The 17,955-nt window shown below is 38.8% G+C and overlaps 1 annotated feature.

The window, feature by feature from the left end:
* Positions 15,449-16,042: an enhancer, noted in NCBI's record as "H3K27ac-H3K4me1 hESC enhancer chr2:192626233-192626826 (GRCh37/hg19 assembly coordinates)". NCBI's record gives its function as "activates a minimal SCP1, AML or CMV promoter by ChIP-STARR-seq in naive H9 embryonic stem cells {active_cell/tissue: H9 hESC(naive)}" and the evidence as "EXISTENCE:reporter gene assay evidence [ECO:0000049][PMID:30033119]".

The following is a 17,955-nucleotide window of genomic DNA, read 5'->3' as shown; positions in this document are numbered from 1 at the left end:
ACAAGAACAAAAATGTGGAACACAATATCCAGATGGCAAGTAAACAACATTGTTGTCATTTTCAAATAGAAAAAGTAAAATTAGGTTTCTACAGAAACATGGGAAATATTAGGGGAATGAGGAATACTTTATAAGACAATGTTGACCTCATGTAAACCACAAGTTACAGAAAACAGCAAGTATGGAATCAGTCTCTGATGCTTTTGAATTTAATATTTAATAATAACAACAACTAAATTATAAAGTGCTCTGTATGCATCGGGCACAGTTCAAAGTTCTTCTTTATATATACCAATTCACTTATTTTTTAACTTTTATTTTAAGTTCAGCATGTGCAGGTTTGTTTTATAGGTAAATTCATGTCATGGGAGTTTGTTGTCACCCAGGTATTAAGACTAGTACCCCCTATTCATTCTTCCTAATTCTCTCCCTCCTCCCATCCTCCATCTTCTGTGTTCATGTATTCTCATTATTTAGCTCCCACTTGTAAGTGAGAACATGCAGTATTTGGTTTTCTGTTTACTGCATTAGTTTGCTAGGGATAATGGCCTCTAACTCCATCAATATTCCTGCAAAGGACATGAGTTCAATTTTTTTATAGCTGCATAGTATTCCGTGGTGTATATGTATCACACTTTCTTTATCCAGTCTACCATTAATGGGCATTTATGTTGATTCCATGTCTTTGCTATTGTGAATAGTGCTGCAATGAACATGCATATGCATGTGTCTTTATAATAGAATGATTTATATTCCCTTGGGTAATTCTGTCTTTAGGACTTTGAGGAATTGCCGCACTGTCTTCCACAATGTTGAACCCATTTACATTCCACTAACAGTGTATACGCATTCCTTTTTCTCTGCAACCTTGCCAGCATCTGTTGTTTTTTGACTTTTTAATAATAGCCATTCTGACCAGTGTAAGATGGTATCTCATTGTGGTTTTGATTTTCATTTCTCTAATGATCAATTATGTTGAGCTTTTTTTTATACACTTGTTGGCCACATATCTCTTCTTTTATCTCTTCTTTTGAAAATTGTCTGTGCATTTCCTTTGTCCACTTTTTAATGGGGTTGTTTGAGGTTTTCTTGTAGATTTAAGTTCCTTATAGATGCTGGATATTAGACCTTTGTCAGATGCATAGTTTGCAAAAATTTTCTCCCATTCTGTAGGTTGTCTGTTTGCTCTGTTGATAGTTTATTTTGCTGTGAAGAAGCCCTTTAATTGGATCTCATTTGCCAATTTTTGCTTTAGTTACAATTGCTTTTAGTGTCTTTGACATGAAATCTTTGCCCATTCCTATGTCCAGAATGGTATTGCCTAGGTTGTCTTCTGGAGTTTTTATAGTTTTAGGTTTTACATTTAAGTCTTTGATCCATCTTGAGTTGATTTTTGAACATATACCAATTCATTTAATCAGCCAAAAAATTATAAATATTATTACTATTTTATTATTATTTTAGTAATATCATGTATTACATTATGGGATAGATACTATCACATTATCATCATCTCCACTTAATGGATGAGGAAATGAGGTACAGAAAGGTTCAGCCCTTGTCCAAGGTCACCCAACTGGTTAGTGGTAGCTCTGGGAGGTGAATCCAGTTAGTCTGACTCCAGATTCCACACCCTAACCATTTCACTGTCCTTCTTCTCCAGTTTGTTCTATAATTTTTCCAAAATATCTAATTTACCTAAAGCAAGCCTAGGTCTTTTCACAATCAAGATAATGGATTTGCTAAACCCATAGAAGAAAGTTCCTGCAAAATTTCAAAGATGACAGAAAACATCTTTCTCTTCTGCTACATGACCCTTGGGAACTACATCGGCAGTGAACCGTGAACCTTGGCTCACTTGAGAACATCCCACAAACGGAGCAGCAGCATAGCATATATGCCCCCAAGTTTCCTCATAGTCTTATTCTAAATGACTTCCAGCAGCACAGAGAGAATCAGTCTGCATCGAGACAGGCTCTTGTGTTTTAATTTGGGCTCCTTTGAGAAAAAGAAAAAAAATGAATCTGGACAGGTGCAATGAAATCACTCTTTTCTGTAAGGACTATTTCCAGATTGGAGAGTGTATTAGTCCATTTTCTCATTACTGATAAAGACATACTGAGACTGGGCAACTTACAAAAGAAAAAGGTTTAATGGAGAACTCACAGTTCCACGTGGCTGGAGAAGCCTCACAATCATGGCAGAAGGCAAGGAGGAGCAAGTCACATCTTCTGTGGATGGCAGCAGGCAAAGAGAGCTTGTGCAGGAAAACTCCTCCTTATAATAACCATCAGATCTCATGCGACTTACTCACTATCATGAGAACATCATGGGAAAGACCTGCCCCCATGATTCCATTACCTCCCACCAGGCCTCTCTCACAAGACATGGGAATTCAGGATGAGATTTGGGTGGGGACAGAGCCAAACCATATCGTTCCACACCTGGCCCCTCCCAAATCTCATGTCCTCACATTTCAAAACCAGTTATGCCTTCCCAACAATCCCCCAAAGTCTTAACTCATTTCAGCATTAACTCAGAAGTCCACAGTCCAAAGTCTCATCTGAGACAAGGCAAGTACCTTCCGCCTATAAGCCTGTAACATCAAAAGCAAGTTAGTTACTTTCTAGATATAATGGGGGTACAGGCATTGCATAAAATACAGCCATTCCAAATGGGAAACACTGGCCAAAACAAAGAGGTTACAGACCCCATGCAAGTCCAAAATCCACCGGGGCTGTCAAATCTTAAAGCTCCAAAATGATCTTTGACTCCATGTCTCACATCCAGGTCACACTGATCCTAGAGGTTGGTTCCCATGGTCTTGGGCAGCTCCATCCCTGGGGGTTTGCAGGGCACATCCTCCCTCCCAGCTGCTTTCATGGGCTGGCATTGAGTGTCTGCAGCTTTTCAGGCACATGGTGCAACCTGTCAGTGGATCTACCATTCTGGGGTCTGGAGGACAGTGGCCCTCTTCTCACAGTTCCATTAGGCAGCACCTCAGTAGGAACCCTGCATGGGGGCTCCAACCCCACATTTCCCTTCTGCACTGCCCTAGCAGAGGTTCTCCATAAGGGCCCCACCCCTGCAGCAAACTTTTGCCTGGGAATCCAGGCATTTCCGTACATCTTCTGAAATCTAGGCGGAGGTTCCCAAACCTCCATTCTTGGCTTCTGTGCACCAGCAGGCTCAACACCACATGGAAGCTGCCAAGGTTTAGGGCTTCTACCTCTGAAGTAACAGCCCAAGCTGTACCTTGGCCCCTTTTAGTCATGGCTGGAGTGGCTAAGACACACAGTACCAAGTCCCTAGACTGCACACAGCACGGGGACCCTAGGCAGGGCCCATGAAACCATTTTCTCCTAGGCCCCTGGACCTGTGATGGGAGAGGCTGCCATGAAGACCTCTGACATGCCCTGGAAACATTTTCTCCATTGTCTTGGCAATTAACATTTGGCTTCTTGTTACTTATGCAAATTTCTGCAGCCAGCTTGAATTTCTCCTGAGAAAATGGGTTTTTCTTTTCTATCATATTGTCAGGCTACAAATTTTCTGAACTTTTATGCTCTGATTCCCTTATAAAACTGAATGCCTTTAAGAGCACCCAGGTCACCTCTTGAATGCTTTGCTGCTTAGAAATTTCTTCTGCCAGATACCCTAAATTATCTCTCTCAAGTTCAAAGTTCCACAAATCTCTAGGGCAGGGGCAAAATGCTGCCAGTGTCTTTGCTAAAACATAACAAGAGTCACCTTTGCTCCAGTTCCCAACAAGTTCCTCATCTCCATCTGAGACAACCTCAGCCTGGACTTTATTGTCCATATTGCTATCAGGCTTTTGGTCAAAGACATTTAACAAGTCTCTAGGAAGTTCCAAACTTTCCCACATTTTTCTCTCTTCTTCTAAGCCTTCCAAACTCTTCCAACCCCTGCCTGTTACCCAGTTCCAAAATCGCTTCCACATTTTCAGGTGTCTTTTCAGCAGCACACCACTCTACTCATGCCAATTTACTGTATTAGTCCATTTTCATGCTCCTGATAAAGACATACCCAAGACTGTGCAATTTACAAAAGAAAAAGGTTTAATTGGACTTACAGTTCCATATGACTGAGGAGGCCTTGCAATCGTGGCAGAAGGCAAGGAGGAACAAGTCACATCTTACGTGGATTTCAGCAGGCAAAGAGAGCTTGTGCAGGAAAACTTCCCCTTATTATAACCACCAAATATTGTGAGACTTACTCACTATCACAAGAACAGCACAGGAAAGACCTGCCCCATGATTCAGTTACAACCCACCGGGTCCCTTCCACAACACGTGGAAATTCAAGATGAGATTTGGGTGTGGACACAGCCAAACCATATCAGAGAGCAAAATTGAGCCTAATAAGAAAGATTTCTAGAGAAAGAATATTATGCTGTGTTTAAGAGAAACTACATTTCTACTTGAAGAAAGACTGTTCCTTTGGCAACTATAGGGAGTATATTATGCTACTCAGATGATGGCTTCCATATGGTAGGTCTTTAACACTGCAGAGTAATGGTCCCCAACCTTTTTGGCACCAGGGACCAGTTTTGTGGAAGACAATTTTTCCACAGAGGAGTGGGGGACATGGAGGAAGCAGCTATTGGGGAGGATGGTTTCCAGATGAAACTGCTCCACCTCAGAACATCAGGCATTAGATTCTCATAAAAAGTGGGCAACTTAGATCCCTCACATGCACTATTCACAATAGAGTTTACGCTCCTATGTAGCTGCTGATCTGACAGGGGCGGAGCTCAGGTGGTAATGCTCTTGCTTGCAGGCTGCTCACCTCCTGCTGTGTGGCCTGGTTCCTAACAGGCCACAGACCAGTACCAGTCTGTGACCTGGGGGTTGGTAACCCCTGATGTAGAGAGTAACTGTGAAGGCCTTGGGCCTTCAGAGATGGCTCTGCACAAAAGAACCCTATTAGACCAGTTCAGGGGATTCCTACAGACTCTTCTTGGGTCCTTCTCTGTCTTCCTTGTCAGTCTTTCTTTGTTCTCATTTAGGCATCTTCACACGCTGATCTTCACACTGGTGTCCTCCTAGGTAACCTGATTTCCAAGCACCCTCACCCTATGTCTAATTTCAGTCCTCCAGCTCCTCACCCTCCTCCTTAGCATAAGCAAGGGCAAGGTTTTTGAAATCACACCTTGACACCTATATTTTTATTATTCTTTTCTCTGATTAGAAACAAAAATGTCTTTCTACTTTGTTTCTCCCAGGGCTTTCTAACCTCCCCCCACCCCCACCACCACACTAAAAAAGAAAAAACGGCCTATGTAACTGATTCTTCCCTATAAAATTTTCAGCTATATATAAATCACCACTCCAAGAAATATTATCTTAAACTTAAGGGTTTAATAAAATATAAATAGCTACCTTGAACTTTAGATTAAATTTTATTGCTCTGAAAGAAGTACGCAAATTCCAAGTAACAACTCAAGAGAAAAAAAATTTAAAAAGCCATTATTTTTTCAATTATTCCAAAGAAACTTATATCAAAGTCACTTTGATTTAAAAACTTCAAAGACACGCAGATTTCATTTATTGAAGGGCCAACCAGTCAGTAATATTGACAAAACTGTCCTTATTCTTTAGAAGAGATTAACCCTGGATTTTAACCATCCTACAACTTCTTAAAGTCATCTTGGTCCATATTTGTCATCAGTAGCCAACTCCTTTGCTTTTGGATATTACATGCTAACTAATATTGAATAGGCCTTTATAACCACCTTGAACATACTATATTCTGAGATGAGACTAATTCCAGTTTTTTATCCTAACTTCTACCAAGTTCAGTTTGTTCAATTTGATTAATGTATTCAGTTTAGTATGGATCATATATTTCAGAGAAAGACTAAAATTTACTCCTGCACTTCAATCTCTTTCTCTGTATAACTTCTTTCTGCCTTTCTTTGCATATCTTCAAATACAACCTGATGTTTGTACTAAATAAAACCTTTTCTATCATTATGATTGTTATCATTAATGTTTTTATTGTTTACTTAATCCTTTTTACTTTCTTTCAAGCAGCACGTCTCTCCTTTTGCTGTACAACTAACCCAACGTGTTATTTTACATCTACTGGACTCAATTCCCATGTAATATCTCCCACCCTCATTGTAGCTTATACATATTAAATTTAATCTCCAGCATCTCCAAAAGTGTGTTTTATCTCCATAAGACCGTGTCCTCTGTTCTTCTTCATTTGCATTTATCCTTTTGATGGACTCATCCAAGTCCTGGTTCCAGTCAAACCCAACTCTTTCGCCCCTATTCCTATGCACATTAGTTTCACATTTCCAGCCAGCTCCAGGCATCCCAAGTGGATGTCCAGCCACAACCTCAAACTCAAGAGGCTAAAAATTCAATACACTGTATTTCATCTTAAATAGAACCCTTTTACAACCATTTGATTTTAAGTATTTAAGAATCAAAATTGAGAGATGCCTAATCTTCCCCCATGGTTCTCTGATTTTCCATCTGCCACCTCTCAGAATCACCCTTTCATTTGTATCCCAATGGTCACTAGGGTCATACCCTTACTACTTTACGCATGAACTGATTTTCAAGGTCAGGTCTCCCCACTCCAGTCCAGCCTGAATACAAAGCATGTGAAAAGAATCTTTCATTGGGTCACTCCCCATTCAAGAACCTTCAATGGTTCCCTACCATTGACTGCACTACCACTACAGTGCCAACTCTACTGACTTTTAGGTTCTCCATAAACTTAATATGCTTCGGCTATGCTCAACTCATTCTCTAATCATCCGCAATGTACACTCCCATCTCTTAGACTGTCTCTACACTGCCCTCCAAATCTTTTGCATGTATTACTGAGCTCTTCTACCTCCTTTCAGACTCATCTCAAATTCTGCCTCCAGAAAGCTTTTTCTGCTTATCCCAAATTCTACTATATTTATTCTTTGAATGGCTACTACATACTTAGTTGGCTTTTGTCACCAAATGCTCAAAGTTTCTCAGCTCCTCTTGCATGTTCTGGGTTGCCCCTAGGATGATGCCCCATTCATAACACTTGAAGCAACTCTTCTACAAATACTTTATGATCAAAGACTGGGTTAATCAGCACAGATTGTCTTTACAAGCAAGTGGACTCTGGGCACCCTCTAGGGTAAAATTGTTCATACAGTATATAACTTATTCTAGCTGTACAACCACTAACATTCAGCGATTCCTACAAAAACAGAGGCTTTTCAAAATAAAGCTTCTGTTTTTGCATGCATGGCCCTCCTTGGTCCTATATATACCAGCCTTCCAAGCTGGTATCTTTATCTACCCCTGCCCCCATCCTTTACCTTAAGCATTCAACTCAACTCAGAGTGCTCCTATTATTGTTTGAAATTAGTTAAATACTAAAATCAAGCCATTAGAAAGTATGCAACAAAAAAACTCATCTAGTATAAAGGAAATAATAAAAGCAAATATAACCAAATTAGTAAACAGAATCATATTAAAATTATAAATTAAATCCAAGAGCTGATTCATTGGGGAAAAAAATGTAACAAACATAATTTTAGAAATTTAGACCACATGTAAGTAAATGTAAAAAGCATAGAGAATATAAAAATTGATAAGGTGAGTCTTACAATTATTTGAAAGTATTATTTATGTGGCCAAAAATCATATAAAAAAAAGTTCAGCATCACTGATCATTAGAGAAATGCAAATCAAAACCACAATGAGATATCATCCCACACCAGTCAGAATAGCTATTATTAAAAAGTCAAAAACTAACAGAGTCTGGCGAGGTTGCAGAGAAAAAGGAAAGCTTATACACTGTTGGTGGGAGTATAAATTAGTGTGACAATTCCTCAAAGGCCTAAGGACAAAATTACCATTTGACCCAGCAGTCCCATTACTGGGTATATACCCAAAGGAATATACATCATTCTATAATAAAGACACATGCATGCTTATTAGGCATACCATTTAGGCAACCTAAATGCCTACTAATGGTACACTGGATAAAGAAAGTGTGGTACATATACACCATGGAATACTATGCAGCCATAAAAAAGAATGAGCTCATGTCCTTTGCAGGAACATGGATGGAGCTAGAGGCCATTATTCTTAGCAAACCAATGCGAGAACAGAAACCAAATACCGCATATTCTCACTTATAAGTGGAAGCTAAATAACGAGAACACAGGGACACATAGAGGGGAACAACATGTACTGGGGCCTACCAGAGGGTGGAGGGTGGGAAGATGCAGAGGATTAGGAAAAGCAACTAATAAATACTAAGCTTAATACCTGGGTGATGAAATAATCTGTACAACAAACCCTCATGACACGTTTACCTATGTAACAAATCTGCACATCCTGCGCATGTACCCCTGAACTTAAAAGTTAAAAAAAAAAAAAGAAAAGAAAAGAAAGTGTTATGTTTACCTCAATACCAGCCCTTTTCAACCAGTTCAACTTCTCTCCTCTGCCTCTAGAATTGTAGCAGTTATGTTCCATCTTAGGAAAATTGAAAACATAACCACTATAATCTTTCTTTGGAAGCCTCATTTATCTAGATCTCAATGAAATGATAATATTGTAAAATAAATAAATAAATAAACAAATGACTTAAAGGAAATCTATTTAGAAGAAATCATTAAAAAATTGAATAACTTCAAAAAAACGTAACTTCTGAAAATGGTCCAAAGCAGCTAGTTTTATGGGTGAGTTCTTTCAAATCCTCATCCAATGTAAGCTCCAGGAAACAGAAAAAAACTGTAAAGCACCCAGTATATTTTAAGTAGCTAAACACTGTTCCATAAGAAAATCTGATGGAAAAAAATATTAAAACTATAGTTTTGTTTTATTTGTAAATATAGATTCAATAATCCTAATTTTTTTAAAAAAACAAACCTACTAGATTCTATACTGTATTGCAAAGAATGTCCAATAATCAAAGTTAAGTTTATCATAGAAATATAAATTGAGTTTATCATTCAGAAAATAATTCATATATTAGTTCCACAGATCCAACTGGAAAAAAAAAATGAAGACTCAAATAATTTCAATCCATGCTTTAAACTAGGAAGAGAATAATTCCTTAAAATGAAAAATAAGGCCAATCTTACAATAGCCAGCACTATACTGATAAATACGATGAAGACACATTGTTTTACTGTTAACATTCAACATGGTTCTGGAAGGTCTAGTCAGTACTTTAAAATTTTGAAATCAAAAGAAAGGGTAAACTTTAGGATGTAGAAAATGAAACCACCACCATTTGCATGTGATATACTTATATATCAAAAAAATACTGAAAACATAAATAGCAAAGTTCAGTAAAGCACAAGACATGTTTACAAAAGTCGAAAGCCTTCCAATATATTAGCCAAAATTAGTTAATAAGTACTATGAAGAAAACATTCTAATCCCAATAGCAACACAACATCTAAAATGCCCAAAACTGATCTTATTGAATAACATCTGAGATTACATCAATGAAATGATCAAACTTTATAGAAATATATTTCTTTAATTTTTATAAATGGAAAAACACCATGTTCTTCCCTGGTAAGAGCTGATATTAATTTATAGATTCATTGCAAATTAATTTATAGATTTATTGCAAATTTAAAATTCAAATAAAATTTTTCTTTTTTTTTTTTTGCCTTTTCTTTTCACATTTTTTTTTTTAATTATACTTTAAATTTTAGGGTACATGTGCACAATGTGCGGGTTAGTTACATATGTATACATGTGCCATGCTGGTGCACTGCACCCACTAACTCGTCATCTAGCATTAGGTATATCTCCCAGTGCTATCCCTCCCCCCTCCCCCCACCCCACAACAGTCCCCAGAGTGTGATATTCCCCTTCCTGTGTCCATGTGATCTCATTGTTCAATCCCCACCTATGAGCGAGAATATGCGGTGTTTGGTTTTTTGTTCTTGCAATAGTTTACTGAGAATGATGATTTCCAACTTCATCCATGTCCCTACAAAGGACATGAACTCATCATTTTTTATGGCTGCATAGTATTCCATGGTGTATATGTGCCACATTTTCTTAATCCAGTCTATCATTGTTGGACATTTGGGTTGGTTCCAAGTCTTTGCTATTGTGAATAATGCCACAATAAACATACGTGTGCATGTGTCTTTATAGCAGAATGATTTATAGTCCTTTGGGTATATACCCAGTAATGGGATCCCTAGGTCAAATGGTATTTCTAGTTCTAGATCCCTGAGGAATCACCACACTGACTTCCACAATGGTTGAACTAGTTTACAGTCCCACCAACAGTGTAAAAGTGTTCCTATTTCTCCACATCCTCTCCAGCACCTGTTGTTTCCTGACTTTTTAATGATTGCCATTCTAACTGGTGTGAGATGGTATCTCATTGTGGTTTTGATTTGCATTTTTCTGATGGCCAGTGAAGATGAGCATTTTTTCATGTGTTTTTTGGCTGCATAAATGTCTTCTTTTGAGAAGTGTCTGTTCATGTCCTTCGCCCACTTTTTGATGGGGTTGTTTGTTTTTTTCTTGTAAATTTGTTTGAGTTCATTGTAGATTCTGGATATTAGCCCTTTGTCAGATGAGTAGGTTGCAAAAATTTTCTCCCATTTTGTAGGTTGCCTGTTCACTCTGATGGTAGTTTCTTTTGCTGTGCAGAAGCTCTTTAGTTTAATTAGATCCCATTTGTCAATTTTGGCTTGTTGCCATTGCTTTTGGTGTTTTAGACATGAAGTCCTTTCCCATGCCTATGTCCTGAAAGGTAATGCCTAGGTTTTCTTCTAGGGTTTTTATGGTTTTAGGTCTAACATTTAAGTCTTTAATCCATCTTGAATTGGTTTTTGTATAAGGTGTAAGGAAGGGATCCAGTTTCAGCTTTCTACATATGGCTAGCCAGTTTTCCCAGCACCATTTATTAAATAGGGAATCCTTTCCCCATTGCTTGTTTTTCTCAGGTTTGTCAAAGATCAGATTGTTGTAGATATGCAGCATTATTTCTGAGGGCTCTGTTCTGTTCCATTGATCTATATCTCTGTTTTGGTACCAGTACCATGCTGTTTTGGTTACTGTAGCCTTGTAGTATAGTTTGAAGTCAGGTAGTGTGATGCCTCCAGCTTTGTTCTTTTGGCTTAGGATTGACTTGGCGATGCGGGCTCTTTTTTGGTTCCATATGAACTTTAAAGTAGTTTTTTCCAATTCTGTGAAGAAAGGCATTGGTAGCTTGATGGGGATAGCATTGAATCTGTAAATTACCTTGGGCAGTATGGCCGTTTTCACGATATTGATTCTTCCTACCTATGAGCATGGAATGTTCTTCCATTTGTTTGTATCCTCTTTTATTTCCTTGAGCAGTGGTTTGTAGTTCTCCTTGCAGAGGTCCTTCACATCCCTTGTAAGTTGGATTCCTAGGTATTTTATTCTCTTTGAAGCAATTGTGAATGGGGGTTCACTCATGATTTGGCTCTCTGTTTGTCTGTTGTTGGTGTATAAGAATGCTTGTGATTTTTGTACATTGATTTTGTGTCCTGAGATTTTGCTGAAGTTGCTTATCAGCTTAAGGAGATTTTGGGCTGAGACAATGGGGTTTTCTAGATATACAATCATGTCGTCTGCAAACAGGGACAATTTGACTTCCTCTTTTCCTAATTGAATACCCTTTATTTCCTTCTCCTGCCTAATTGCCCTGGCCAGCATTTCCAACACTATGTTGAATAGGAGTGGTGAGAGAGGGCATCCCTGTCTTGTGCCAGTTTTCAAAGGGAATGTTTCCAGTTTTTGCCCATTCAGTATGATATTGGCTGTGGGTTTGTCATAGATAGCTCTTATTATTTTGAGATATGTCCCATCAATACCTAATTTATTGAGAGTTTTTATCATGAAGGGTTGTTGAATTTTGTCAAAGGCTTTTTCTGCATCTATTGAGATAATCATGTGGTTTTTGTCTTTGGCTCTGTTTATATGCTGGATTACATTTATTGATTTGTGTATATTGAACCAGCCTTGCATCCCAGGGATGAAGCCCACTTGATCATGGTGGATAAGCTTTTTGATGTGCTGCTGGATTCGGTTTGCCAGTATTTTATTGAGGATTTTTGCATCAATGTTCATCAAGGATATTGGTCTAAAATTCTCTTTTTTTGTTGTGTCTCTGCCTGGCTTTGGTATCAGAATGATGCTGGCCTCATAAAATGAGTTAGGGAGGATTCCCTCTTTTTCTATTGATTGGAATAGTTTCAGAAGGAATGGTACCAGTTCCTCCTTGTACCTCTGGTAGAATTCAGCTGTGAATACATCTGGTCCTGGACTCTTTTTGGTTGGTAAGCTATTGATTATTGCCACAATTTCAGATCTTGTTATTGGTCTATTCAGAGATTCAACTTCTTCCTGGTTTAGTCTTGGGAGAGTGTATGTGTTGAGGAATTTATCCATTTCTTCTAGATTTTCTAGTTTATTTGCGTAGAGGCGTTTGTAGTATTCTCTGATGGTAGTTTGTATTTCTGTGGGATCGGTGGTGATATCCCCTTTATCATTTTTTATAGCGTCTATTCAATTCTTCTCTCTTTTTTTCTTTATTAGTCTTGCTAGCGGTCTATCAATCTTGTTGATCCTTTCAAAAAACCAGCTCCTGGATTCATTAATTTTTTGAAGGGTTTTTTGTGTCTCTATTTCCTTCAGTTCTGCTCTGATTTTAGTTATTTCTTGCCTTCTGCTAGCTTTTGAATGTGTTTGCTCTTGCTTTTCTAGTTCTTTTAATTGTGATGTTAGGGTGTCAATTTTGGATCTTTCCTGCTTTCTCTTGTGGGCATTTAGTGCTATAAATTTCCCTCTACACACTGCTTTGAATGCATCCCAGAGATTCTGGTATGTGGTGTCTTTGTTCTCGTTGGTTTCAAAGAACATCTTTATTTCTGCCTTCATTTTGTTATGTACCCAGTAGTCATTCAGGAGCAGGTTGTTCAGTTTCCATGTAGTTGAGCGGTTTTGAGTGAGATTCTTAATCCTGAGTTCTAGTTTGATTGCACTGTGGTCTGAGAGACAGTTTGTTATAATTTCTGTTCTTTTACATTTGCTGAGGAGAGCTTTACTTCCAAGTATGTGGTCAATTTTGGAATAGGTGTGGTGCGGTGCTGAAAAAATGTATATTCTGTTGATTTGGGGTGGAGAGTTCTGTAGATGTCTATTAGGTCCACTTGGTGCAGAGCTGAGTTCAATTCCTGGGTATCCTTGTTGACTTTCTGTCTCGTTGATCTGTCTAATGTTGACAGTGGGGTGTTAAAGTCTCCCATTATTAATGTGTGGGAGTCTAAGTCTCTTTGTAGGTCACTCAGGACTTGCTTTATGAATCTTGGTGCTCCTGTATTGGGTGCATATATATTTAGGATAGTTAGCTCTTCTTGTTGAATTGATCCCTTTACCATTATGTAATGGCCTTCTTTGTCTCTTTTGATCTTTGTTGGTTTAAAGTCTGTTTTATCAGAGACTAGGATTGAAACCCCTGCCTTTTTTTGTTTTCCATTTGCTTGGTAGATCTTCCTCCATCCTTTTATTTTGAGCCTATGTGTGTCTCTGCACATGAGATGGGTTTCCTGAATACAGCACACTGATGGGTCTTGACTCTTTATCCAATTTGCCAGTCTGTGTCTTTTAATTGGAGCATTTAGTCCATTTACATTTAAAGTTAAAATTGTTATGTGTGAATTTGATCCTGTCATTATGATGTTAGCTGGTTATTTTGCTCTTTAGTTGATGCAGTTTCTTCCTAGTCTTGATGGTCTTTACATTTTGGCATGATTTTGCAGCGGCTGGTACCGGTTGTTCCTTTCCATGTTTAGTGCTTCCTTCAGGAGCTCTTTTAGGGCAGGCCTGGTGGTGACAAAATCTCTCAGCATTTGCTTGTCTGTAAAGTATTTTATTTCTCCTTCGCTTATGAAGCTTAGTTTGGCTGGATATGAAATTCTGGGTTGAAAATTCTTTTCTTTAAGAATGTTGAATATTGGCCCCCACTCTCTTCTGGCTTGTAGGGTTTCTGCCGAGAGATCCGCTGTTAGTCTGATGGGCTTCCCTTTGAGGGTAACCTGACCTTTCTCTCTGGCTGCCCTTAACATTTTTTCCTTCATTTCAACTTCGGTGAATCTGACAATTATGTGTCTTGGAGTTGCTCTTCTCGAGGAGTATCTTTGTGGCGTTCTCTGTATTTCCTGAATCTGAACGTTGGCCTGCCTTGCTAGATTGGGGAAGTTCTCCTGGATAATATCCTGCAGAGTGTTTTCCAACTTGGTTCCATTCTCCCCATCACTTTCAGGTACACCAATCAGATGTAGATTTGGTCTTTTCACATAGTCCCATATTTCTTGGAGGCTTTGCTCATTTCTTTTTATTCTTTTTCCTCTAAACTTCCCTTCTCGCTTCATTTCATTCATTTCATCTTCCATCGCCGATACCCTTTCTTCCAGTTGATCGCATCGGCTCCTGAGCCTTCTGCATTCTTCACATAGTTCTCGAGCCTTGGTTTTCAGCTCCATCAGCTCCTTTAAGCACTTCTCTGTATTGGTTATTCTAGTTATACATTCTTCTAAATTTTTTTCAAAGTTTTCAACTTCTTTGCCTTTGGTTTGAATGTCCTCCCGTAGCTCAGAGTAATTTGATCGTCTGAAGCCTTCTTCTCTCAGCTCCTCAAAGTCATTCTCCATCCAGCTTTGTTCCGTTGCTGGTGAGGAACTGCGTTCCTTTGGAGGAGGAGAGGCGCTCTGGTTTTTAGAGTTTCCAGTTTTTCTGTTCTGTTTTTTCCCCATCTTTGTGGTTTTATCTACTTTTGGTCTTTGATGATGGTGATGTACAGATGGGTTTTTGGTGTGGATGTCCTTTCTGTTTGTTAGTTTTCCTTCTAACAGACAGGACCCTCAGCTGCAGGTCTGTTGGAATACCCTGCAGTGTGAGGTGTCAGTGTGCCCCTGCTGGGGGGTGCCTCCCAGTTAGGCTGCTCGGGGGTCAGGGGTCAGGGACCCACTTGAGGAGGCAGTCTGCCCGTTCTCAGATCTCCAGTTGCGTGCTGGGAGAACCACTGCTCTCTTCAAAGCTGTCAGACAGGGACATTTAAGTCTGCAGAGGTTACTGCTGTCTTTTTGTTTGTCTGTGCCCTGCCCCCAGAGGTGGAGCCTACAGAGGCAGGCAGGCCTCCTTGAGCTGTGGTGGGCTGCGCCCAGTTGGAGCTTCCTGGCTGCTTTGTTTACCTAAGCAAGCCTGGGCAATGGCGGGTGCCCCTCCCCCAGCCTCGCTGCCACCTTGCAGTTTGATCTCAGACTGCAGTGCTAGCAATCAGCGAGACTCCGTGGGCATAGGACCCTCCAAGCCAGGTGTGGGATATAATCTCGTGGCGCGCCGTTTTTTAAGCCCGTCGGAAAAGCGCTGTATTCGGGTGGGAGTGACCCGATTTTCCAGGTGCGTCCGTCACCCCTTTCTTTGACTCGGAAAGGGAACTCCCTGACCCCTCGCGCTTCCCAAGTGAGGCAATGCCTCGCCCTGCTTCGGCTCGCGCACGGTGCGCGCACTCACTGGCCTGCGCCCACTGTCTGGCACTCCCTAGTGAGATGAACCCTGTACCTCAGATGGAAATGCAGAAATCACCGTCTTCTGCGTCGCTCAGGCTGGGAGCTGTAGACCGGAGTTGTTCCTATTCGGCCATCTTGGCTCCTCCCCCTCAAATAAAATTTTTCAACTTGTCTAAGTGATTCTAAGATTCATCTAGAAAAATAAAACATTGAGACCAGCTTTTAAAAAATTAAAGAAAAGAGTAATGAATAAGGATTTAGCTACTAGACATAAAAACTTTTATGAAACTACAATAATTTAGATGATGTGGTAATAGCACAGGCCTTGACAGATTAATAGGAAAGACTAGATAGTCCTGAAATAGGACTAAAAATATATAAAAACTTAATGAAGAATGATAAATGAAAAATCACATACCATAAAAATGTTGGAAGTAACACTGGTGAATATAAAACTGATTTAAAAGCAATAGAATATGTCACCAAGGAAAAGATACATAGATTTAACTGCATAATATTTAAAATTTGTATATCACTGAAATAAAGCTTATCTAATATAACATCAAGGATATTTTAAAAGTTAACAACAAAACTCTGTATCAGAAAACACCATAAAATTATTTAAAAGCAAATGGCAACCTTGAAAAAAATTTTGCAATATATATGACAAGTTAATGACTACTGCATATAAAAATATTCACATATCAATAAAAAATAAGAACATTCTGTGTTTTCTTTCCTACTGCTGCTGTAACAAATTATCACCAATTTAGTGGCTTACACCACACAAATTTATTCTCTTACATTCCTGGCCGTCAGAAGTCTGAAAGCATTCTCACTGAGCTAAAGTCAAGATTTCAACAGGGCTAGCTTGTTCCATGCTCTCGGAGAAAATCCTTTCCCTCCCTTTCCCAGTTTCTGCGGGCCACCTGCCTTTCCTGCCTTACAGCCTCTTCTTCCATCTTCAAAGCCAGCAATGTAATATTTCAGATCACCCTCCTGTGACCTCAGCTTCCTTTGTCAACTCTCCTGCTCTGACTCTAACTCTCCTGTCTCCCTCCAATAACGACTCCACATAAATAATTCAGAATAATATCCTCATCTCAAGGTCCTTAATTTAATCACATCTGCAAAGTCCATTTTGCCATGTAAGCAAATATATTCACATGTTCAGGGACAAGATTATGGACATCTTTGAGAGCCCATATTCTTTCTGGCACACATCAATAGAAAAAAAAGAGACAACACATAGAATAAAAAAACAAATAAATGCCCAATAAACCCATGAAATACATGTTCAATCTCACTAGAATTCTAACAACTAGAAAAGAAAACAAGAGTGAGATACTTCTTTTGCCTGATAAATTGCCGAAGATTTTTCTAAAATGTGAATGCATTTTCTGAAATGTGAATGCAAGAGTACAGTTTCCAAACCATTAGGTGACATGTGTCAAAAGCCTTAGAAAGTTCATGTCATTTAATCCCATAATTTTATTACTCAAAATTTTTCCTAAGGAATTACTTAGAGATTCAAAATATATCATATGACTATTACCCACAGTATTTTTAAAGAGAAATAAATTAGAAACTACATCCAACAACAAGGTATTGGCTAAATAAACTGTGATAAAACTATATGATTGAATACTATGCAGCCATTAAAATTTGATCTTTAAAGATTTTTAATAATATTGAGACTATTCTCACAATAGACTGCTGAGGACAAAATATAAACAGGGTCTAAAACTGCATGTATTATAAAATATATGCAAATAGAAGGCTAATGATGGTTAACTCAGAGCCATTGGATTATGAGTTATTTTTATTTTCTTCATTACACTTTTTATATTTGCTAAATTTTTAATAATAAATAATATTACTGTTATAATCATTTTTTAAAAGGTAATTTAAAAATTTCAAAGTGAAGGATGGCAGATGTTGGCCATTGAGCCTTAGAATTCTAAGCAGGATGGAAAATAAAGTGTTTTATGCCCCCAAATGGCAGCTCCCACACATCAATCAGAGACCAGCCATGCACATTATTCCTTTTAGAAGCAAAGCCAGACAGCACTGTGCGCAAATCAGTATCTCACAGTTACGTACCGTTGCCAGGAGGGAGACAACACAGAACAAGTTCAGCACAGAACCCCAACTTCAAGTAGAAACAGGTTTTCCTCCTTGCTGTGGGCCTAGAAAGGATTACAAGCATATTGCAGAGCCCTCCAGAGTCAGAAGGGAAGAATGAAACCACATGAATTTTAATTAAATTCTAAAATAGGACATAGAAACTAGTTGGAATAACTGAAGAATACGCCAGATAAACACATCAGCCATAGCACAGTTCACAATACAACTTCCCATCGGGCAAAAAATACAAATGATAATTTTGATACGGACTCCTAGAA

The sequence above is a fragment of the Homo sapiens genome, chromosome 2, assembly GCF_000001405.40.
Source record: "Homo sapiens chromosome 2, GRCh38.p14 Primary Assembly".
Classification (NCBI taxonomy): Eukaryota; Metazoa; Chordata; class Mammalia; order Primates; family Hominidae; genus Homo; species Homo sapiens.
This window is presented reverse-complemented; position numbering and strand designations above follow the sequence as displayed.